The sequence below is a fragment of the Homo sapiens genome, chromosome X (genome assembly GCF_000001405.40).
Source record: "Homo sapiens chromosome X, GRCh38.p14 Primary Assembly".
Classification (NCBI taxonomy): domain Eukaryota; kingdom Metazoa; phylum Chordata; class Mammalia; order Primates; family Hominidae; genus Homo; species Homo sapiens.
In genome coordinates, this window is record NC_000023.11 from 103,349,206 (window position 1) to 103,372,405 (window position 23,200).

Genomic DNA, 23,200 nt, shown 5'->3' on the forward strand with positions numbered 1-23,200 from the left:
TCTCCCAGTAGTCATTATTTTTCCTTTGAGCCTCTTACCTGCACATAAATGGCCAAGAAGCTGGGTATAAAGAAAGGAGGCTCGGAGTGGAAGTGGAACATTTTCTTCTGTGTATCCTTCTGTTCCAGTGTTTAATTTAAAATGCTTTCTTTTTACGTTGAAGAATACAATATTTAACACATTTTGAAGATGGGGGAAATGGGCATTTATCCCAAGAGCTCTCTTTTCATTGGGGTGCCTTGTTATTTGGCTAAATTGTCATATATCAGATTAAAGTGTTTTTAATCAGCTACAAAAGGAATCACAAATTTTTAAAACATGCCAATTGTTCACAACCTTTAAAATATACTCTTTAGGGAGAAAAGTAATTTACAATAATAAATAAGATTTTCTACTAAATAAAAAATTCTTCATAATTTGGTTGTGTTTATTTTTATCAGTTAGAAAATGTGTCTGATACTTCCCAAATAGCTTAAAAAAAACAAGATAGAGAGTTTGAAATTTAAAACCTACATTTTTCTAAAATTAATCAACATTTTATGTGTTTGATAAATTAATCCCTGGAGAGCCTGTCAACCTTAAATAATGAAATTCAGAAAACATGATTAAGTATAGAGTTTATTCAAGCGCAAAGCTTGAGGATAGCCGCCCTGAAACACCAGCTCCAAACAAATGGAATCAGTGTTCCAAAGTGGAAAAATTAAGGTTTTACTTATATAGGCAGAGACAGAGAAATTTTAGCAGGGTTGCATTTTCCATACAAGACCTATGCAAATGCCACAGCTATTTATTATTCCATGAGGAGGGGTAATGATCTGAGGGAGTCTTATCTCTGGTGGCATTTTGTCTTAATTATTTACAGGGGGAAAAAAAGGCAGAAGTTGCAGCTTCATGCCCTGTGATTCAAGCTGCATAGCCACATTCCTCTCAAGGCTCAGAATAATTTGAAGTTCCAGCAGCTTTAAGTTTAAATTATTTAATTTCACAAGCCTAACAAGTGTCTTGTTTTTATCCGATTATAGAAAAATGATCTCCTATCTTTTCCACTTATGGAAGTGTTTAATTTTCACAACTAACTAGTATTGTTTTCTTCTGCTAAAGGAATGCAGCCTGCTAGGCCTCTCACCTCTGGCCTCCTCCCCTCCAGGAAACTCAGGAGGAGGCTGGCCTTGCGGTAGGGTCACTGCCTGCCAATCTATCCCCACCCAAGTAGCCCCTCAGCCAGGTTTAAGACAATGTCCCAGGAACTCTCACTTTCTGACCATATTACTTAGCCTAGACCAGGAGTTCTCAACTAGGAAAGTCTGTGGACCATTTGAAATTCTATGCAGGTTTGTGCATGTTTAGGGTTGGTGGGGTACACGCACTTTTGTGGAAAGAGGGTTCGTACCTTAGGAAGCTGGGAAAGCCTGATACATGAGCAAGGTGAAATTATGAGGAAGCTGAAGCCATGAGGTCTCCTCGGTGACATAGGAGGAGAAGGATGAATGAGGATAAGAGGAGAGACTGAGAACAACTGAGCCAAGGTAGTGACAGAGCACTACAGTGCTCAGGTCCTGCTCTTAGACATCCATTAGGAATTTACTGTCTATTCTCAGATTCCCTTGAGATCATAATCTTCTCTACTGCCTCATAAATTTTCACCATAAATCCTGCCTCAACTAAACTAGTCTAAATCTGTGTTCCTTACAACTAGTGAGACTATCTAAAAGATTGGTTACCTGTAATAAAATGTTCCTAAAAGTGAACAAACTACTAGTACACATAGTTACAAACAGCATGAAAACTTGTGAAAGGGCTTCAATAGAGACAAAGAAGACACATACATGGGGAATAAGTATAAATTATTCAGCCTCACTAGGAGTCGAAATGGACAAATTGAAACTTCAAGGCACTCGTTCACCTATGAATTTGGTGAATATTTTTTAAAAAATCATGCCATCCATTTTACATGAGTTCATTCACATGGACTGTCAAGTACACGTGTAAATTGGTTAAATTATCTTCCAGGCCTTCTTGATAATACACATAAAAATAAATAAGATGTTTCAGATTTAGACCCAGCAATTTCATTTTTAGAAATTTTTCCTTAGGAAATAATTTTGGTTGTGTGCAAAGATTTTGGTTAAGGCTTGAGTTAAATAGCAAAAACATAGAGGCAGCCTAAATATTAAACAAGCGGTAGATAAGTTACCATTAATTTTAACATGATGAAGTACAGTATTTATTGGCATAGAAATATTTACATTGCATTGTTAGCTAGAAAATATGTATAAAATAGTGTCCTGGTGTAAATAAATTTTATATCTATGTATCTATTTATCTCTATATATTATATCTAAATAATAATGTGTAATATAATATTACTAATAGCTATATAGTATACTATATATAATATGTAATTTATTTATCTCTACACACACACACACACACACACACACACACACACACACAATATCTCCATCCCATTCACAAGCAAAGCAGTGAAAACTGGCCTCCCCTCCTCTCTCCCTTCTTCCTTATTCTGGAATATATACATTTCAATTTTAAAATTGTATATATATATGTGTGTGTGTGTTTTATATGTATTATTTACATAAAAATTGAATGCCCATATATACAGTGAAGAGTGAATAAAGTCTAGGTTATCTCAAAACTATGTATTTCATTGTTCTATGTATGTAATTCAAGTAAACTGTGGAAAATTTGGAAAATACACAAGAATTATAGACATGAAAGTTTTTAGAAATCTATATTCCCATAAAATTAAATGGGAGTTTAATTTTAAGTTTAAATATTTTCATTTTTTCCCCACTAACATTATAACTTATAGTAATATGCTATGAAGTAGGTAAGTTTGACTAGGTAGGATTTTACCTTATATGCTGACTTTAGAATCCATCCTTGGCTTAAGATGCAACTCCACTGCACTAACACATTCAGTGATAATTGAGAGGAAATCTACAGAAAGGACATAAGGGTTTAGACTGACAACATCTAGTGATCGCCTAATTAATATTTGTGAAACCAATAAGTGGATGAAGTGTATATTTGAGAGCCACCAAATAAATGAAATTGAGTGTATATTATTGAGGGTTTCCTTCCTCCTATATGTATTTTTAAGTATAATTAGGATAGTTTTATATACATTATTTATAACCTGCTTTTAAATAATAGTTATTTTCTTTATTTGCAAAAAATAAAACATTTTTACTGGAAAAAAGTAAGGTAACTATAGATACATGCCACATGTCAAGCAGAGCCAGATCCTTTCTGTTTCTATTCATACATATTTTTTAAAGAATTGAATTGGCAACTAAGAATACTATTTTATAATCTGCTTAAACTATTATATTATTGCCATAAGTATTACTTTCTCTAGCAAAAATATTTCCCTAGAAAATATTTTCATCAGGTCAAATTTAAGAAAGAGATGCCTCCTTCCCCATGTTAAAAATGTAGTAGTACACTTTGACCATCTCAAACTTGATTGAAGGGAGGGATAGTCAGAGGAAGGGGAAGAGACCCTCATTTCTAATGCATACTAGTTACAAACATGTAGTCCTTTGAGGAGGTCAGCGGAGCAAGGGAAGGAAATGTGAGGGATTCAACCATCGTAAGGATCTGAAGTCTCAAACAGGTAGTGGAGTCCCTTAATTCAGACCCTGTTCAGCTACAGAGAAGTATGTATATGAAATATGTGCCATAAAATAAAATCATACTATTTGCAGACATTTCCTTACTGTAGAAGTTACATATGCCCCCTGAGAAAATGTAGAAGAGTCTACAATGAAGTAAAAAAATACATATAAATCATCCATAAGCCCACCAACCACCCAATCATACCTAATTCTAATACTGTTACTGTTAATAACCTGCTTTTTCCTTACATAGCAATATACTATAAAAATTTTCATTTCAATAGATACATGGCTGTCTAATATTTGTCAGATATTTTATTTCTTCTTCATTTTTCACTTTTGTCTCAAACATTTTTCTGAATATTAGTAATTAATATATTACTTATTATTTATTTATTTATTATTATATTTTAAGTTCTAGGGTACATGTGCACAATATGCAGGTTTGTTACATAGGTATACATGTGCCATGTTGGTTTGCTGCACCCATCAATTGTCATTTACATTAGGTATTTCTCCTAATGCTATCCCTCCTCCAGGCCCCCAGCCCCCGACAGGCCCCCGTGTGTGATGTTCCCCACCCTGTGTCCAACTGTTCTCATTGTTCAATTCCCACCTATGAGTGAGAACATGCGGTGTTTGGTTTTCTGTCCTTGTGATAGTTTGCTGAGAATGATGGTTTCCAGCTTCATCCATGTCCCTGCAAAGGACATGAACTCATCCTTTTTTTATGGCTGCATAGTATTCCGTGGTGTATATGTGCCACATTTTCTAAATCCAGTCTATCATTGATGGACATTTTGGTTGGTTCCAAGTCTTTGCTATTGTGAATAGTGCCACAATAAACATACGTGTGCATATGTCTTTATAGCAGCATGATTTCTAATCCTTTGGTTATATACCCAGTAATGGAATCACTGGGTCAAATGGTATTTCTAGTTCTAGATACTTGAGGAATCGCCACACTGTCTTCCACAATAGTTGAACTAATTTACACTCCCACCAACAGTATAAAAGCATTCCTGTTTCTCCACATCCTCTCCAGCATGTTGTTTCCTGACTTTTTATTGATCACCATTCTAACTGGCGTGAGATGGTATCTCATTGTGGTTTTGATTTGCATTTCTCTGATGACCAGTGATGATGAGCATTTTTTCATGTGTCTGTTGGCTGCATAAATGTCTTCTTTTGAGAAGCGTCTGTTCATATCCTTTGCCCACTTTTTGATGGGGTGGTTTTTTTCTTGTAAATTTGTTTAAGTTCTTTGTAGATTCTGGATATTAGCCCTTTGTCAGATGGGTAGACTGCAAAAATTTTCTCCCATTCTGTAGGTTACCTGTTTACTCTGATGGAAGTTTCTTTTGCTGTGCAGAAACTCTTTAGTTTAATTAGATCCCATTTGTCTATTTTGGCTTTTGTTGCCATTGCTTTTGGTGTTTTAGTCATGAAGTCCCTGTCCATGCCTATGTCCTGAATGGTATTGCCTAGGTTTTCTTCTAGGGTTTTTATGGTTTTAGGTCTAACATTTAAGTCTTTAATCCATCTTGAATTAATTTGTGTAACTTATTAGTAATTTAAATATATAAATACAACACTTAGAAAATAAAAGTTCTCTTTATATGAAATACACATTCTCAAGTATATCCTATGATGTTCAGGATATATTCATCTGCATTTCTAATGATATAAAAATACAGTAAGACCCTGAAACAACTTGAGTTTGGATATAACATGATTGGTGATAGCAGGTGGGGAGAGAGTAAAATGGATGGATGATATTTAAGTCCAAGTGCTCAGTGAAGAATTGTTTGTGGCAACAAATCACAGCTGAGTCCTTGATGAATTTGGGTTGTGTAGCCAGCTAGCCAAATAGACTCACATCAGTCATTCCATCCATCCATCTCTCAGTAACATAACCTGGAATTTTATAGAATGAATTTCTGGACTTCACTTATCATGTTATCATGTAATTTAATTGTATACTCATATTTTAAATACACAAATATGTATACTGTTACAAAAATGTAATACCACATATAAAATTAACTTTCAATTTGCCTTTTTTTGTTTAACAATATACATTGAACAATTTTTTTCATGTGAGTAAATGTAACTCCACATCATTTTTTCATCACTGTATAATGTGGCTCTATATGAATGATCAAACTTTTCTTAAACCAATTTCCTTTTAGAAACATATAAGTTTTTGGCTCTTTAAAAAAAACACTATTGCCACAACTACTACAATGACCATATTTGGCATAGGAGTATTAATGTATGATAAATCTCTAGAAGAGGAATTGATGTGTCCAAAAGCACATATCTTCTAAAGTTTGATATTGCCAAAATGACTTCCAAAAATGTTGTACTACTTAATAGTCTCACAGTACATGTGAATATTTGTTTTACCATATGCTCATCAACTCTGAATATAATCAATATTTGTCTTTTCTAATTGTACAGATGAAAAATTAACTCTTATTTTTATTTTCAATAGATCTCAATTCTATGAGCATATGCTATTATTCCCTTCTTTCAGATGAGGAAACTCAGGTTCACAATGTGTACCTGACGATTAATTGATGATTCTTCAGGCAGCACAGCTTCCTGGTAACACCACCATGAGGACTCTGGAATGAAACATTACTCTTTTTTAAAAAATTCTGTATCATTTTCCTCACAAAACTTCTAATATCACAACAGCTTTCACTTTAAAAGCACTTACTATATGCCACATGTACAATAAGCACTGTACATGTATTAACTCATGTCATTAAAGTAATTTTTTCTTTGTCTTTTCTGACTATAAAAAGATAAAAGTTGCCCAGTGCAGTGGCTCAGGCCTGTAATTCCAGCCCTTTGGGAGGTTGAGGCAGGAGGATCACTTGAGCCCAGGAGTTCGAGACCAGCTTGGGGAACATAGACCCTGTCTCTACAAAAAAATTAAAAGACTAGCTGGACATGGTGGCACACACCTGTAGTCCCAGATACTTGGGAGTCTGAGGCAAGAGGATCACTCGTTTCGAGGAGTTTGAGGCTGCAGTGAGCTGTGATCGCACCACTGCAACCCAGCCTGGGCAACAGAGTGAGACCCTGTCTCAAAAAAAAAAAAGAGAAAGAAAGACAGAAAAAAGAAGAGAGAGAGAGAGAGAGAGAGAGATTAAAGTTACCTTTTTAAAAAGGATATAGAAGTACGAAAAATAAAAAGTAAAAATTGCATTCAGAAATCTCACTCTTGTTCCAGGGTCTTTTTTTGTTGTTGTTTCACAACTGCTGCCAAGGCCACCCTGCTCTACAACAGCTAAGAACCAGATTGCAGAGGAAATGGAGGCTAGAGGAGGGACGACTGATGGAGGAGTTATCCTGGGAGTGGAAGAATGGAAGAGACAATTCTCGAAAGAAGTAGAAAAGTTCAGTAGCTCCAGAAAAAGAGGTAGCCCCTCCCTAGTAATCAGAGTCAAGCAAATAACATTTTTCCCGCTGGGATAGGAAACAACAGAAAAGACTGACAGGGCCAAATGTATAAGTGGGGGGCGGGGAGGGAGAGAGGGTGGGCCCACTTCTGCCGCGCTTTTGGTGGGAGTGGAAATTAGGGACCCGAGCTCACTGGTGACGTAGATCTCATGTGACCAGGAGTCGACGTGTGCAGAAGTCCTGGTAATCTGGTCCTTGTTCCCGTCTGGATACCAGCTTCCTTCAGCAGCGCAGGCGGTGGTCCCTGAGGCCCGTGGAAGGAGTCAAACTTGCGGGAATTTTGCAGGTTGGTGTCACTGTAGGTGTTGACTGGGGATTTCTAGTGTGGGGGGGTTTAAGGCAGAGACTTGTGGGAGTGCCGGTCAGGTCCGTCCCTCCACCCTCCACCTCCAGGTCTACGGGAACTGATGACCCTTGGGAAAGGGACTAGGGGTCCTAGGAGAAGAACAGGGAGACCTGTGGTAGTTTAAAAATAATCATCCTCTGCTATCTAAGACTGCTTTCCGGACCCCCACCCTCCTCCCGAACCCCGCCTCAGTCTTAAAGATAGTTTGGAAATAATCTGCTTTCTCACTCTTTGTCTGATGGGAAAAACGAACTGACTTGCATGCACTGTGGAGAGGGGGTGAACTAGGGGAAACAAAAGGTGGGAAACTTTCCATATCCGAAACCCTAAAGGAGGAAAGCTACGTGTGTCAGTCTCTGGCGCTGGTCGGCCCACCAAGCGCTCGCCCCACCCCCACCGTCCCCTCCCGTTTCCAGTTTATCTGCAGGGCTGTTGTTTCCAGCAAGACCCAAAGCTAGAAAAGGAGGAGGAAGAAACTGACCCGATCAGTGCCAGGTAGGTGAGAGGAATATTATAAAGTCTCCTGGGGTGGAGACAAAGGTTGTAAGCGCCACCGTTCCTGCCGGCTCCCTTCCACCCCACCCCTTTCCCCTCTTCTTTTCTCTCCCCCTTCTCCTTTCCCCTCTTCCTCTGCCTGCCAGCCACCTTTCTCTTTTCTGGCCTGGTCCCTGTGTTAGGCCCTATGGGGGAAAAAGGTCTGGGGAGGGCTGGACGGCGGAAAGGAGGGCCTTGGAAAAGGTTAGAGGGAAGGACAAGAGAGAAGTGAGGAGGTGGAAAGTGGAGGTAAAAGGAGTGGGGATAGTGAAGCTCTGATTGCTGACTGGGCTTCTTAGGTGGAAGATATTTTATAACAGCTCTGAATAAAAAAAATTAAATGCTAAGGCCTCTGTCCACAGCACCTGTCCACTCACCAAGTCTTTAACTTACTGTCTTCTTTTTGCTTTCTAGAAGTCATTGTATTCAAAGAAGAATAAGCAAGAAAGAAAAGAAGGAAGGAAGAGAGGTAGACAGATACAAGATGAAATCCTGTCAAAAAATGGAAGGAAAACCAGAAAATGAGAGTGAACCAAAGCATGAGGAAGAGCCAAAGCCTGAGGAAAAGCCAGAAGAGGAGGAGAAGCTAGAGGAGGAGGCCAAAGCAAAAGGAACTTTTAGAGAAAGGCTGATTCAATCTCTCCAGGAGTTTAAAGAAGATATACACAACAGGCATTTAAGCAATGAAGATATGTTTAGAGAAGTGGATGAAATAGATGAGATAAGGAGAGTCAGAAACAAACTTATAGTGATGCGTTGGAAGGTTAATCGAAACCATCCTTACCCCTATTTAATGTAGTTTACCTTGATTTTTATCTGATATTAACAATACCATATAGCTTGCTTTTTATTAGCATTTCCTGATATTCCTTTGTCCATATTTCTACTTATAACCTGTTGCTATTAATGGTTTTAGATGTATCTCTTGTTATCTGCATCTCATTGTTTATTGTATTTTGAACCAATCTACAAGTCTCTGTCTTTTAATAAAAGAACTTTACACATTTGTAAAAAAGAGGTTCTTGGTAAGATATAAAATGGAAAAAGGCTAAGTAATATGTGAATATCATATTTTTGAAAGGTAAAAAGTACATTTGTATATTACATATATGGACATAACTTGTGAAGGATGAAAGAAAGTACAGCCTCTCGGTGGTGGGATTATGAATGATTTTTCTCCTTTTGCTTGTTTGTATTTTCTATATTCCTAAAATTAACACACATTATTATTGCTAGAATAATAAAAGTTTTATAAAAAAGAAGCAACAAGCAGCACGTATTAGTTTATTTCTAAAAGTATTGGGGCATTTAATATTTGTTGACAGAATTTTAGAAGAAATGTGAACTTGAAAGTAACTCCAGACCACTTAGCTAGAATAATAAATTTTACATATTTTCTCATCTTTAAAATAAAGAAAATAATCTCACAAGGATCTGGTGAGGGCCAAATAGAGTAATGACTGTGAGCTATGTTTGACAGAGTTTTGTTCCCATCCCAACTCCGTAAGAGATTAATTTCAGCGATTTGGAAGGGTGGAGAAAGTAGTTCTTATCTGTGATTAAGAACAAACCCAAGGCCGGGCGCGGTGGGTCACACCTCTAATCCCAACATTGGGAGGCCAAGGCGGGCAGATGACGAGGTCAGGAGATCAAGACCATCCTGGCTAACATGGTGAAAGCCCGTCTCTACTAAAAATACAAAAAATTAGCCGGGCATGGTGGCAGGCGCCTGTAGTCCCAGCTACTCGGGAGGCTGAGGCAGGAGAATGGTGTGAACCCAGGAGGCAGAGCTTGCAGTGAGCCGAGATCGCACCACTGCACTCCAGCCTGGGTGACAGAGCAAGACTCCGTCTCAAAAAAAAAAAAAAAAGGAACTGTGAGGTGGGTGCCACCTTTATGTTCATTTCCTGATATGCCTACCCAGCTTCTCATGCCCCTGCCCTTCATACTACCATATATACTGCGTTTTCTGCCCCTTCTGCTGGGTCCTGCACCTTCAGGCCCCTACCACTGTGAATGTGCTAGAATTCTCAAGTAGTGAAGCCCAGCATATTTCTTTGGCACCCCCAGTAAGCTTAGTTCCCAGACTGACCTTTAGAGAAGTTAGGAGATTGCCCATCTCTTCAATTTAGATAGACACTTATGCAGTGCCACATGAGTCATGATGTCTTATAGATATCTTGGCAACTTTGGGATTTTAACTTTCTCCCCATAAGGCTCAGACATGATAGGTCCATCTGGGAGTTGGACCAGAAGACAAATCTGAGTAACAGACATTATGTTTTAGTCAGAATTGCTGCCCTGGATCTGAAGACTACCATTTTATCTTCCTGACTCCTATTTCCTTAGGACGAATGATTTCTCCCAGAAGACTGGTGGCAGGCCCTCCTCATCTGTTCAACAGATATCCCTAGACTTGTATAAATTTTGAAGGAAAATTCAAGTCAGATTTTGGAATAATCCCATCCCTGGCTGGAAATATATGAAAGTGCTGTGTAGGCCTTATTGTATGTCTATATCTACATATCTCTGTCTGTCTGTCTGTCTGTCTGTCTGTCTATCTATCTATCTATCTATCTATCTATCTATCTATCTATCTATCTATCTATCTATCTAATCTTTCTTTCTTTATTTTAAGGTGGAGTCTCACTCTGTCTCCCGGGCTGGAGTGCAGCAGCATGATCTCAGCTCACTGCAACCTCCGCCTCCTTGGTTCAAGTGACTCTTGTGTCTTACCTCCCGAGTAGCTGGAATTACAGGTTTGCACCACCACACCCAGCTAATTTTTTTTTTTTTTTGTATTTTTAGTAGAGACGGGATTTCGCCATGTTGTCCAGGCTGGTCTCAAACTCCTGACCTCAAGTGATCCACCCACCTCTGCCTCCCAAAGTGCTGGGATTACAGGCGTGAGCCACCGTGCCCAGCCCTATCTTTCTTTCTTTACAAAAGGCCCACTATTGTGCCTGTCATGTGTCATTTTCCTCTGTGATGCCATTTTGGGAACTCTTCATGTCTCCAGACCATTCTTCAAGGTGATGGCAGCCTAATGGTTGCTGGTAGGGCTGCAATTCATGTTGGAGTGAGATAAGGTTCCAGGCTCACTGCCAGTTTTACAAAACAGGATAAATCCATCCCCTTGGCCCTCAGAGGGGTGGCACTCAGGAAGGATGTGGAAGGGCTCACTCAAGCCACACTCCTGTCTAGGATAGGCCTGACTTTGGCTTCTCTGCTAGGCACAAGGCCCTCCTCAGCTGATAGCTTGCCTGTCCTGAACAGACATACCTGGAGAAAAACAACTATCCTTTTTGCAGATCAGAGCACTAGACTTCCTTTCTCCCTTTTTTTCCTTCACAAGGAGGTTTGATAGGACTTTTTTATAAGGAAGAAGATAAGATCTCAAAATTCACTAATAGAAACTTTGTCCCAGACATGACTGCTCTGCATGTAATCAGATAACTTATGGTTAAAGTAAAAGAGTCTGGTGGTAGGAGGAAATGATTTTAGATAGTACACAAATCTTTTAAATTGTGGTGTCCGTGTATTTATTTGAACATGTATGAATGAATACTTTCTGTTTAAAGCAAATGATGATAGTTTAGATTTAGGGTGGCATTATAAAGTTTGTTTTTCAAAAAAGTATTCAAATAAGTGAGTCAATGTGAAGAAGAACATTAAGTTAGAACACAGTATTAATAGTGTAGGTGGCACATACTTAAGGCAAAAAAACATCCTGGTGGGAAACATTGCCCCAGCATGGGCATAATAACTTTAGGGATAATAACTGGAAACACCTATCAAGAACTGTGAGGGATTTGAGATTTTACCCTACGTATAAGCTAACAACTTAGCCTACTCTCATTTAATGGATGCTGGCAGAAGACTCTAGACTCCTGGGTCAAAATCAAATGACATCATCACAGCAGAAGCAGTAGCCAGAGCTTCATGTTGGTTTGTATTAGTTCCTTATTATTTCCAAGTTTCATGGGGTGGCATAGGACCCGTGATTGATACCTAAACATGCAGGGCATTGCATTATAGGAAGGAAACCCTGAGTTTGGGGTCTTCAATGCTTTCACAGCAGAAACAAGCCTGCTCTTTGTTCAGGGGAAGAGGTTATCTTATCGCTCAAGGTTGCTTGTTGCAAACACAACTATGAAAAATGGTCTGCCTGGGTAAAGAACACTCAGGGTCTTAAATTCTTGGCATACCCAATAAGAATATGCAGGGATGCTCAGGGTTCATGGCAGATTGCCTCTCCCAATAACAGTTTTCTCTGTACAATAAATCTGAATGTGAATAATAAGCATTTCCTAACACCAAAAGCTCTGGTTTATGATTCCAAATTAAATACAGCACACAATGTATATTGTAGAATATAAACATGGTATCTGTAACTATTTCTAGTTTTTAGTTAAGTACAGGGGATTTTAAATAAATCCTAAGATTAAAAAAGAGCATCAAGTAAGAAACTAAAGATAAACAATCTTTGAGGAACTTCAAAATTACAGTAAGACACAGCTATCATGATACCACAAAATAAAAGAGGTAGGAATGCAAAGCCAATGGATTCTTCAGGACGCTAATAACAAGAGTAATCTCATATAAAACTTTTTACTAGGAAACTGACAGGAGAGTGTGTGTTTGAAAATCAGCCCCAGATCCCATCCACACATAATCACCTCAGTCTCTGTAAAAAGCAAAAGCTAACAGAAAAGCTGGTTTGTTCTCTCTGCAAAGAAAGTTCAAGGTAAGGTAAGAAGGAGGAGGCTAACACACATAACAGTATCCAAAAGCAGTTATTTGATATTCTGACGTCAGCCTTTTGCAAGACCCTTAGCAAAAACAGCTGCATCACTTGAATAATTTAGTTGGGCATGGAGCATCTTTTCATGTGCTTATTGGTGATTTGTATTTCACACTTTGAGAAATGTCTATTCAAATCTTTTGTCCACAGTGTAATGTAGGTAGGGAACTATTTAAAGGAATGAAGTAGATCCATATGTACTACATGTTCATCATGTATTGTTAAAAGAAAAATGAAAAACAGAAGGCACAGTATAATATATACACACATACACATACATACCCATATCCACAAATATTCACATATATCAAGATGAAGCCCTTCAGTTTGCTAAAGAGAAGGATTATTTCTTTTTAAGTGGCATTTTGGTATCTCTTATCAGGCCTCCTGCCATCTGGTTAAGAAATAATTATTTTTTTAAAAAAATTCCCAATCGGTAATTATATTATCCTTGCATTATAATTGCCCAAATAATTATTGGACTTACACAGAGTCTTTCTTCCCTTCCATGAACTCTGAGTCCTTTTCTAGATGTTATATCATTAACCTATTATTTTATAGAAAAGGAAAGTGAGGCCTGGCCGAGGTTGCCCAGCTATTAAATGGAATACTTGCCTAAGGTCAATGTCCTTTTTCCTAATCACTGCTCTGGAATGATTGGTATTTAACAAATAGTAACAATACCACTGTGCTGAGTGAATTCCTATTGGTTCCTCAAGGCTCCATGCCCTTTCAAGTCCCAGTCCTGGTTTCACATTTATCCCTGCCTGAAACACTGCCTCAATTACCCCTCACACACTTAGCCTGGATAACTCCTATTCATCCATCCCAGAATAGATATTATTTCTTTTTAATAACAGCTTTATTGAGATATAATTTGCATACCAAACAATTCACCAACCTAAATTATACAATTCAATGGTTTTTAGTATATTCACACATGTGTGCAACCATTACCACAATCAATTTTAGTACCTTTTTGTCAAGTCAAAAAGAAACACCGCACCCCTTAGTTATGACTCTCCTATGCCGTTATCTCCCTATCCCTAAGCAAACACTAACCTATCTTCTGCATCTATAGTTTTCCCTGTCCTGGACATGTAAAATATAGTCTCTTGTGACTGGTTTCTTTCACTTAACATAATATTTTCAAGGTTCATCCATGTTGTAATATATATCAGTACTTCATTCCTTTTTATTGCCAAATATGATTCTGTTGGATGGCTAATTCACATTTTAGAGATGGATACTGGCAAGGATATGAAGCAATAGGATCCCTCATTCATTGCTGGTGAGAATGCAAAATGGTATAGCCACTTCGAAAGGCATTTTGGCAGTTTCTTACAAAACTAAACATACTCTTGCTATACAATCAAGCAATCGTGCTTTTTGCTATTTACCCAAATGAATTGAAAACTTATGTCTACACAAAAACCTGCCCACATTTTATTTATTTATTTATTTATTTATTCATTTATTTTGAGACGGAGTCTTGCTCTGTTGCCCAGGCTGGAGTGCAGTGGCGTGATTTCCGCTCACTGCAACCTCTGCCTCCTGGGTTCAAGCGATTCTCCTGCCTCAGCCTCCCGAATAGCTGGGACTACTGGCACGCGCCACCACACCTGGCTAATTTTTGTATTTTTAGTAGAGACGAAGTTTCACCATGTTGGCCAGGCTGGTATCGAACTCCTGATCTCAAGTGATCCACCTGCCTCTGCCTCCCAAAGTGCTGGGATTATAGGCATGAGCCACCGCACCTGGCCTCCACACATATTTTTATAGCAGTTTTATTCATAATTGGCAAAACTCGGAAGCAACAAAGATGTCTTTCAGTGGGTAAATGGATAAACTTAGGTACGTCAAAACAATGGAATATTATTCAGCACTAAAGAGAAATGAGCTATCAACCCATGAAAAGACAAAGAAGAATCTTAAATGCATATTACTAAGTGAAAAGAGCCAATATGGAAAGGCTACACATTTTTTTGCTTCCATCTATATGACATTCCGGAAAAGGCAAACTATGGGCATGGCAAAAGGGTCAGTGGTTGCCAAGGGTTAGAGGGAGAGTGGAATGAAAAAGTGGAGCATAGAAGATTTTTAAAATCCTCTATGTGTGAAACTCTACATAATATGATACTATTATGGTGGGTACACGTCATTACACACTTGTCAAAACCCATAGGATGTACAACACCAAGAGTAAACCCTATTGTAAACTATGGATTTTGGGTGATAATGATGTGTCAGTGTAGGTTCATCACTTTTAACAAATGTGCTACTCTAGTTCAGGATTTTGATAGTGGGGGAGCCTGTGTGTGTGTGTAGTATCAAAGGTATATGAGAACTCTGTAATTTCTACTCAATTTTGTTGTAAATTTAAAACTGCTCTAAAATTAAAGCCTATTTTTTTAAAAAAAATCCCTGTGTATCTTCAATAACACTTTTTTTGTTTTATAGTCTATTTTGCCCAATATTAGTATACTCACTCAAGTTTCCCTGTGGTTGCTTTTTGCATGATATATTTTTCCCATCTCTTACTTTCAATCTACAGTATTAGAATCTTTGAAACTAAAGTATGTATCCTATAGACAGCATACAATCCAATGTTGTTTTTTATCTAGTGTGACAATCTCTGCCCTTTGATTAGATTGTTAATCTAGTCACAATTAAAAAAGAAATGAGCTATCAACCCATAGTAACAATTAATGTTACTATGAATATAATTGTGTTTAAGTCTTCCATTTTTCATTTTGTTCCCTATGTGTCCTATGTGTCCCATGCCTTCTTTTGTTCTATTCCTCCTGTTCTACTTTCATTTTTATTACTGTATGTTTTCTCGTGAAGCATTTATATATATATATATATATATTTTTTTTTTTTTTTTTTTTTTTTTTTTTGTGAGACGGAGTCTCGCTCTGTCGCCCAGGCTGGAGTGCAATGGCATGATCTCGGCTCACTGCAACCTCCGCCTCTCAGGTTCAAGCGATTCTCTTGCCTCAGTCTCTCGAGTAGCTGGGACTACAGGCGCCTGCCACCACGCCCGGCTAATTTTTGTATTTTTAGTAGAGACGGGGTTTCACCATATTGGCTAGGCTGGTCTCGAACTCCTGACCTTATGATCTGCCCACCTTGGCCTCCCAAAGTGCTGGGATTACAGGCGTGAGCCATCACGCCCGGCCCAGCATTTATATTTCGTTATTGCTTTTTTCACTATGTTTAAGCTTTGTTGTGGTTGTGCTAAAGCTTACTATCTATATAACCTTCACTTATCAGAATCAATTTCAGATTCTTGCTAACTTAATTCTAGTCATATATAGAAATGTTACTTCTATTCCTTCCCCCTCTTTTTGTGGCATTATTGTTACACATGTTACATCTATTAATGTTACAAATCCAATAATGCATTGTTATATTTATTACTTTACCCTCTGCAGTCATTTCCTTAGACCAATACTGCTTTATTCCAACCCACCTTTTTTGTTCTGTTATTGGCAAAAATATTACAATTATACGACATTTGTATGTGGTATAGGCCTAACAATACATTAGGTACACATTATTTTATACAATTGCTTTTTAAGCTAGTTAAGAAGGGAGAAAACTTTATTTTATACTTAGGCATACAATATACTCTCTTTTATAATTACATCTTATCTACGCTATTGCTTTTTGTTTTTTGGTAGAATTTTAATCACCATCTGGAGTTTGTTTGTTTTTTTTTTTTTTTCAGCCTAAAGATCTCCCTTTAGTATTTCTTGTAAGCCAGGTCAGCTAGGTACAACTTTGCTCAGGTTTTGTCTATCTGGGAATGTCTAAATTTCACCTTTAATTTTGAAAGATAGATTTGTTTGATATAAGATTCCTGGTTCACTGTTTTCTTTTTCTTTTCTATTTCCTGTAACTGCTGGTCACTAAGAGACGGTTTTCTTTCTTTTGAGCACTTTCACTGTGTTGTTCCACAGTCTTCTTACCTTCATCAATTTTTTTTTGTTTTGTTTTTTTGCTGAGGAGCCAGCTGTTAATCTTATTGAAGTTCCCTTAAATGTGAAGAGTCGTTTTTCTCTTGCTGCTTTCAAAATTTTCTCCTCGTTTTTGACTTTCCGCATTTTCACTATGATGAATCTACTTGTGAATATCTTTGTGTTTATCTAGTTAGGAGTTTTGTTTTTTCTAACCTTCCTCAATGTGTGCATTGGAGTTTTTCAATAAATTTGGAAAGTCTTCTGCCATTATTTATTTAAGTATTTTTCATTTGCCTTTCTCTCCTGTCATTTTGCTACTCCTTTTACATATATGTTGGTGCACTTCATGGTGACCCACATTTCTTTAAGGCTATCTCATCATTTTTCAACATCTTTTTTTCTGTCTATCCCTCAAATTGCATACATTCAATCTATCTTCAAGTTCACTAATTCTTTTTTCTGTAAATTCAAACCTACTTTTGAGCTCCTCTAGTGAAATTTTTATTTAGGTTGTTGGACTTTTGAACTCCACAATTTCCATGTAGTTCTTTTTTTAAAATAATTTGTATGTCTTTATTGACATTTCTATTTCATGCAACATTGAGATCATATCTTCCTTTACTTATTCAATCATAGTTTCCTTTAATTATCAGAATATATTTATAATGGCTACTTTGAATATCCTACATCTGTGATATCCTGCATCTGGCCACTGTCACAGACAGTTTCTGTTGCCTGTTCCCCCACCACCCCCACGCCCCCAGTGTAGGTATGGGTCATTCTTTCCTGTTTATTGCATGTCTTGTAATTTTTTGTTGGAAACTAGACATTTTAGATAATATGTTGTTGCCACTCTGGTTATTGTGTCCTCCCCTTCTAGGGCTTGTTATTATTTGCCTGTTTGTTTAGTGATTGGCTGGCTTATTTTAGTAAAGTTTATTTCTCTTCCTCCAGCATTAATCTTCTAATGTTACCCCTCAGGGATGCTCATCTTTTGATATGCCCACAGACACCCTAAGATGACAATGGTTTCGATAGAGCTTTCCTAGTGTCTTTCCATGACCATAGTCAGCTGTTAGGCTCCTCTAATTGCTAACTGATTGGTCTATTATTTCCAACAATATTCTTGGCCATTAATTGCTCTGCAGACTAATTTAATCAAATGTGGGTTCTAGTGAAAGAACGGTTCTCTTCATCAGTGTTTGACATTTGTTCTGACCCCAAGAGGGCTCCTCCCAGCCAGCTCCCTCTCTGGTGCTCTCCAACAATCCAGCCAGACAATAGTTAACTGCTAGCTTCACCAAACCCATGAATTACTTTCCAAGTGTCCCCACCACAACTTCCACTATTTTTGGAGCAACATTGGCTTGAACTTCTCCATGCTCTGTTGTAAATGAAGTAAGTTCTACTGGGAAAATATTACAAGATAAATGCTTTATGGCTTGTTTCTCTTCTCAGGCAAAAATATTTGAGCCAGGGCTCTGGATCTGGGGGTGGGAACAATAGCATTCTTCTCTCTGACACTCCTGCTTTAGGAGCTGACATTCAGGTACAGGAGGGAACAACAGCCTGAAGGTCCTCTCAGCTTACTTCTCATGTTGTGAAACCATGCCCAGCAAGCCAGGGCAAGGATGATTAGGGCCTCAGCATTCTCAGCAGTGCCACACCCAGGGGATAGCTTCCATTCCATTAGTGGGGACTGGATGGAAGATGGGAGTCTCAACCTCTTGATTGCACTTACCCAGGACTTAGCCTCAGCAACAGGTAGTTGGGGGCAGGATGAGAAATGCTGACATCCTACTCTTCCTAGGAAGAAAGTCCCTGACCGGCAGCTGGAGGGAGAGGATGCCTTGTGTTCTTGGCCACCAGTTAGGAATGCAGTTTATGTTTCTCTGAGCTGGAAGTGGGGAGGGAGCAGATGTCTAAGTTCAAATGCCACAGATTCTCATCTTTCTTATGGAGTTTTTATGGATTTTCTTGAATAGATGTTTCTCCATTGATTTGACAGTATCCTGTGCCACATTTTATATGGCCCTTAGGAGCATTTCCAGAGGCTTTAAATGGTTGTTTTCTTTTGTTTTATAATTTTTACCAGTTTCACTGGAGAACATGTCTGCAGAGCTCTTCCTGCTGTCATACCAGAAATCAATCTCCTAGACATCATTTTGTTTTTGAAGACTTCACCGGCAACTGCATTAGGTCCTCTTACTCTGTGCTCCAAGTGCCCCTTCAGCATTTACAGCACTAAATTTATGGTTTCCTCCCATTAATTCATGAACTCCATGAATATGAATGTTATATTTACTTTGTTCTCTTTTATATCTCCAGGGCCTTGCCTAGCACATGATAGATAATAAATATTTATTGAATTAAATTTTTATTTTTATATTTTTATCAAATGGAAAGAGCTATGTCTTGGGCATCAGAACTCCTAAATATGGCCCTGAGATTCAGAAGTGGATATGGGCAAGCTGTGCCTAGCACAGAAAAGTGTTCAAACAATATTAAATAAGAAATGGTGAATGAAGAAAAGAATGAATGAGATTTAGATTGGGGACTTACTAATAAATAAAACTGAGTAGTGGTTAAGAACATAAACTTAGGAACTAGACTATATGAGTTTGAATTCTTGCTCTGTCACTTCCTGTCTGTTGTTTAACTTCACTGTCCTGCAATTCTTTTATTTGTAAAACAGAGAATACTACTAGCACCTACCTCATAGGATCTTTGAAATGATAAATGAAATAATGAATATACATATACAACAATGCCTTGCATATATCAGCATTTATATGTGTTATTTTATTTTCATCACTATGTATGTGTAAGAAAACTGGGATAATTCTGTATGTGTTATTTTATAACTCAAATTTTCAAAATACTTAATGCTTTTTTTTCCTTCTCCTTGCCAAAAGGAAACCTTTTCCTCGGAGACGATTTAGAAGATAGAAGTAATGATGGCCAATATCAGAAATGCATCTTTAATCTCAAAGATGAAAACAACCAAATGGAAGAGGATGAGAGAGGGGCAGGGGCACCAAGTCACCAGGCAAGGTTTCTAAGTGTAAAATGTAAGCACAAGATACGTTTATGCTACTACTGCCTGGGTCTCTGAGAGTCATGACAGGAAATATAGCCCCTAACTCAGCAGCTGGGGCAGGAGTGTAGTGAGGGAGGAGGAAGAGAGGTAGGAAAAAAAAGGTGTGTGTGAGAGACAGAGATAAAGAGAAAAAAATGAATATTTATCTTTGGCACTTTAATTAAAGATAGATTAAAATCATCTGTATACCAATACCTAAAATATCAGTTTTAGTAGTATTCTAAAATAATGTGTTGCTTATCCTCATGTCCACCTAATTTACTGTAGAATACTTGAAAAATGTGGAAAGTCATAAATTGGAAGATTTATGATTTGTACGTATCACCCATCACCAAAAGAGCCAAAACTTTGGGTGTTGAGATAGCAGAGACTGAGAACACTAAAGGACAGGCTTATCTGGGTCTGTCAACTAGAGGGTTCACATGTAGCATATCCAACATGGCCATCTCAGGGCTTCAAAAACAAATGTTTCCTGTAAATAGGGGTGAAGCTGTATGGTCTTTTATGATTTGGCCTTGTAACTCACATAGTATCAGTTCTACTCTCTTCTACCCTATTGATTGAAACTGTCATAAGCCCTCTTCTAAGATATAAGAGGAGGGACAGAAGACTAAGATTGACAGGTGGCAATCATAGATAAAATATTCAAATATTTCCTTAGATGTTTATGCACAATATGTATAATCCTAGAAGGTAAATAAATAAATAAAATAGGCCAAGTTCTATGGACTGAATGTTTGTGTCCCCCCAAACTTCATATGTTGAAGCTTAATACCCAGTGTGATGGTATTTGGAGGTGGAGTCTGTGGAATTAGATCATGAGAGTGGAGCCCTCATGAATGGGATTAGTGCTCCTATAAGAAGAGACATGAGAGAGTTTGCTTCCCCTCTTTCTGCTTTCCACTATGTGATGTTACAGAGAAAATCACCATCTGCAAACCAGAAAGTGGGTCCTCATCAGACATCGGATCTACTGACATCTTGATCTTGCACCAGAACTGTGAGAAGTAAATGTTTGTTGTTTAAACCACTCAGCTGCTATTTTGTTATAGCAGCCCAAACTGACTAAGACACTAAGAAAACAAGTGAAAAAGAAAAAGATTTCTTTCCTGGGAGTTAGTAGATCTAACAAAGCTATCTCTACATCTAGTTCTACTACTACCCTCTTGGAAACCTGAGCAAGCCCCTTAATTTTTCTGGGTCTCAGTTTCTCAATTTGAATAATAGGACCCTTGTACTAAAATATTTCTAAGGTTGTTTTGGTTTTCATAGTACACAATCTGTGAAGGCCTAGTACTTGAGATCATAAAACCTACCCTATAAATCCAAAATTAGGCAAAGGCATAGAAAACACAGCTATAAAATCCACTGTTCTATAAGCCTACTAATCCATTTTTCTGGCCTCACAGTTTATTTTATTATCCTATTTCAATGGGCTTGAAGAACATACAATGACCTGGGACATAGTCTGTTGGGTATCCAAAGCAGACAATGGCTTGTGACAAAAGTCTGTCTAGGCATGTTGACAGACTTCAGTCTTTCTTCCTGAGATATGAGTGTAGTTAATGAAAGCTCAGGGAAGGGACTAGAGATAATTGTTTTCTTCTTTAATGAGTCTGGACTTTAGATAAATAAGGGAACTTCAGAAAACAACTTCATCCTGTGCTTTGTGAGAGACAGGATTGAGAGTGAAGAAGTGTGTGGGAAAGGTCAGACGGACCTTGAGGTTCCTCTTCAGTTCAGCATGTCAAAGCACCATATCTTGGGGTATCAGTTTCTAAGCCCCAACATTATCCAATATAATGGAAGGTCTTTGACAACAGGGCCCTTGTCTACGCTGTTTCCTCCTGCATCCTTAGTACCTAAAACAGCAATTTGCACATGATAAATGCTCAACTATTATTTGTTAAAATAATAAATTTTTTTATTGGCCATGTTTGTTTCTTTTGTAAACTACTTATTCATATCCATTGCTCATTTTCCCATTGGTATGTTCATTTTTTTCTTATTAATTTGTAAGAGCTCTTTAAATATAATGGATGTTAACTTTCTTTTTCTTTCACATATTGTTGGTTTCCTAGGATGGCTGTAACAAAGTATCACAAACTGGGTGGCTTAAAACAACAAAAATGTGTCCTTTCATGGCTCTGGAAGCTAGAATTTCAAAATCAAGGAGTCAGCAGAGCCATGTTTCCTCAGAGACTCTGGGTAGATTCTTTTCTTGCCTCTTCCTAGCTTTTAGTCATGGTTGTCAACCCTTGGCATTCTTTGGCTTGAAGCTGCATCACTGTAATCTCTGCCTCTGTCCTTGGATTGGTTTTCCTCTTCTTATAAGGACACCAGTCATATTGTATTAGGGCCCAGCTTAATGACATCACCTTAATTTGAATATATTTTCAAAGGCTCTGTTTCCAAACAAGGTCACAATCAGAGGTTATAAGGCTTAGGACTTCAATATATATCTTGGGGGGATACAATTCAACCCATAGCACATATGGTATAAATATATTTCTCCTGTTTCTTCTCTGTCTTTTAAATTTGTGTGAAAAATCAGGTTCCCTGGCCAGGCGCGGTGGCTCACGCCTGTAATCCCAGCACTCTGGGAGGCCAAGGCGGGTGGATCACAAGATCAGGAGATCGAGACCATCCTGGCTAACACGGTGAAACCCCGTCTCTACTAAAAAATATAAAAAATTAGCCGGGCATGGTGGCAGGCGCCTGTAGTCCTAGCTACTCGGGAGGCTGAGGCAGGAGAATGGTGTGAACCCAGGAGGCGGAGGTGGCAGTGAGCTGAGATTGTGCCACTGCACTCCAGCCTGGGCGACAGAGCGAGACTCCGTCTCAAAAAAAAAAAAAAAATCAGGTTCCCCTTGTTGCACTGTATACTAGCAATGGAACTTACATGGGAGTAGTAACAGTGAAATAAGATAAAGTGACTTCATGAACGTTTATGCATGAGTTTTGTTACTCCTCAAAGTTCATCCCTAAGTCCTGGGAAAAGTAAGAAAGGTGCTCACCTCAGCCTAAAGCTAGAAGGGCCAAAGGAGTTCTCTTGGCCTACACATAGTCCAGCTAATGTCATCAGTTTAGGAGACTGCATAGGGCAGAGCTCCTTTTCCACCAGAGTCCTAAACAACAGGAAAGAGTGGCCACGGGTCTCCGGTGTCTCAAGATATTATCTGCAATCCATGAAATAAAGAAAAGAATACCCCTCAGTTCCCCAATAGATAATGAGGTGCTGAATATTTGCTGCTTTCACGTTCAGACATCTTAGTCTCATAGCCCTTTTATTTTTTCAGACTAGATCTCTTGAATTAAATATATTATCTCCCAAAT

General features: G+C 38.2%; 1 protein-coding gene and 1 long non-coding RNA gene across 6 annotated transcripts, besides 1 other annotated feature; one reads left to right on the top strand and one right to left on the bottom strand.

The window, feature by feature from the left end:
- Positions 1-3,938: 3,938 nt before the first annotated feature.
- LOC124905204 (uncharacterized) lies at positions 3,939-7,359 on the bottom strand. 2 transcript variants are annotated; one of them, XR_007068284.1, is made up of 2 exons: positions 7,249-7,359; positions 3,939-6,271 (listed from the first exon to the last, which is right to left on the bottom strand). It is a non-coding gene; the product is annotated as an uncharacterized LOC124905204 (long non-coding RNA). The 2 variants fall into 2 exon arrangements; XR_007068285.1 differs by lacking the exon at positions 7,249-7,359 and adding an exon at positions 6,812-7,225 and having other exon boundaries at positions 5,596-6,271.
- Positions 6,754-7,953: an enhancer, noted in NCBI's record as "CDK7 strongly-dependent group 2 enhancer chrX:102610887-102612086 (GRCh37/hg19 assembly coordinates)". NCBI's record gives its function as "activates an origin of replication core promoter dependent on BRD2, BRD4, P300/CBP, MED14 and CDK7 cofactors, with strong dependence on CDK7, by STARR-seq in HCT116 cells {active_cell/tissue: HCT116}" and the evidence as "EXISTENCE:reporter gene assay evidence [ECO:0000049][PMID:35650434]".
- TCEAL9 (transcription elongation factor A like 9) lies at positions 7,301-9,257 on the top strand. 4 transcript variants are annotated; one of them, NM_016303.3, is made up of 3 exons: positions 7,301-7,401; positions 7,878-7,956; positions 8,410-9,257. In NM_016303.3, exon 3 carries the CDS (start codon positions 8,480-8,482, stop codon positions 8,792-8,794), a length of 315 nt encoding a protein of 104 aa, NP_057387.1. In that variant the 5' UTR covers positions 7,301-7,401; positions 7,878-7,956; positions 8,410-8,479; the 3' UTR covers positions 8,795-9,257. The 4 variants fall into 4 exon arrangements, with proteins under 4 accessions (NP_057387.1, NP_001006613.1, NP_001006614.1 ...); NM_001006612.2 differs by having other exon boundaries at positions 8,413-9,257; NM_001006613.2 differs by lacking the exon at positions 7,878-7,956.
- The last annotated feature ends 13,943 nt before the right edge of the window (positions 9,258-23,200 follow it).

Excerpts from the sequence above, each read along its gene's own strand:
- TCEAL9 (NM_016303.3), top strand. The coding sequence starts at position 8,480 with ATGAAATCCTGTCAAAAAATGGAAGGAAAACCAGAAAATGAGAGTGAA.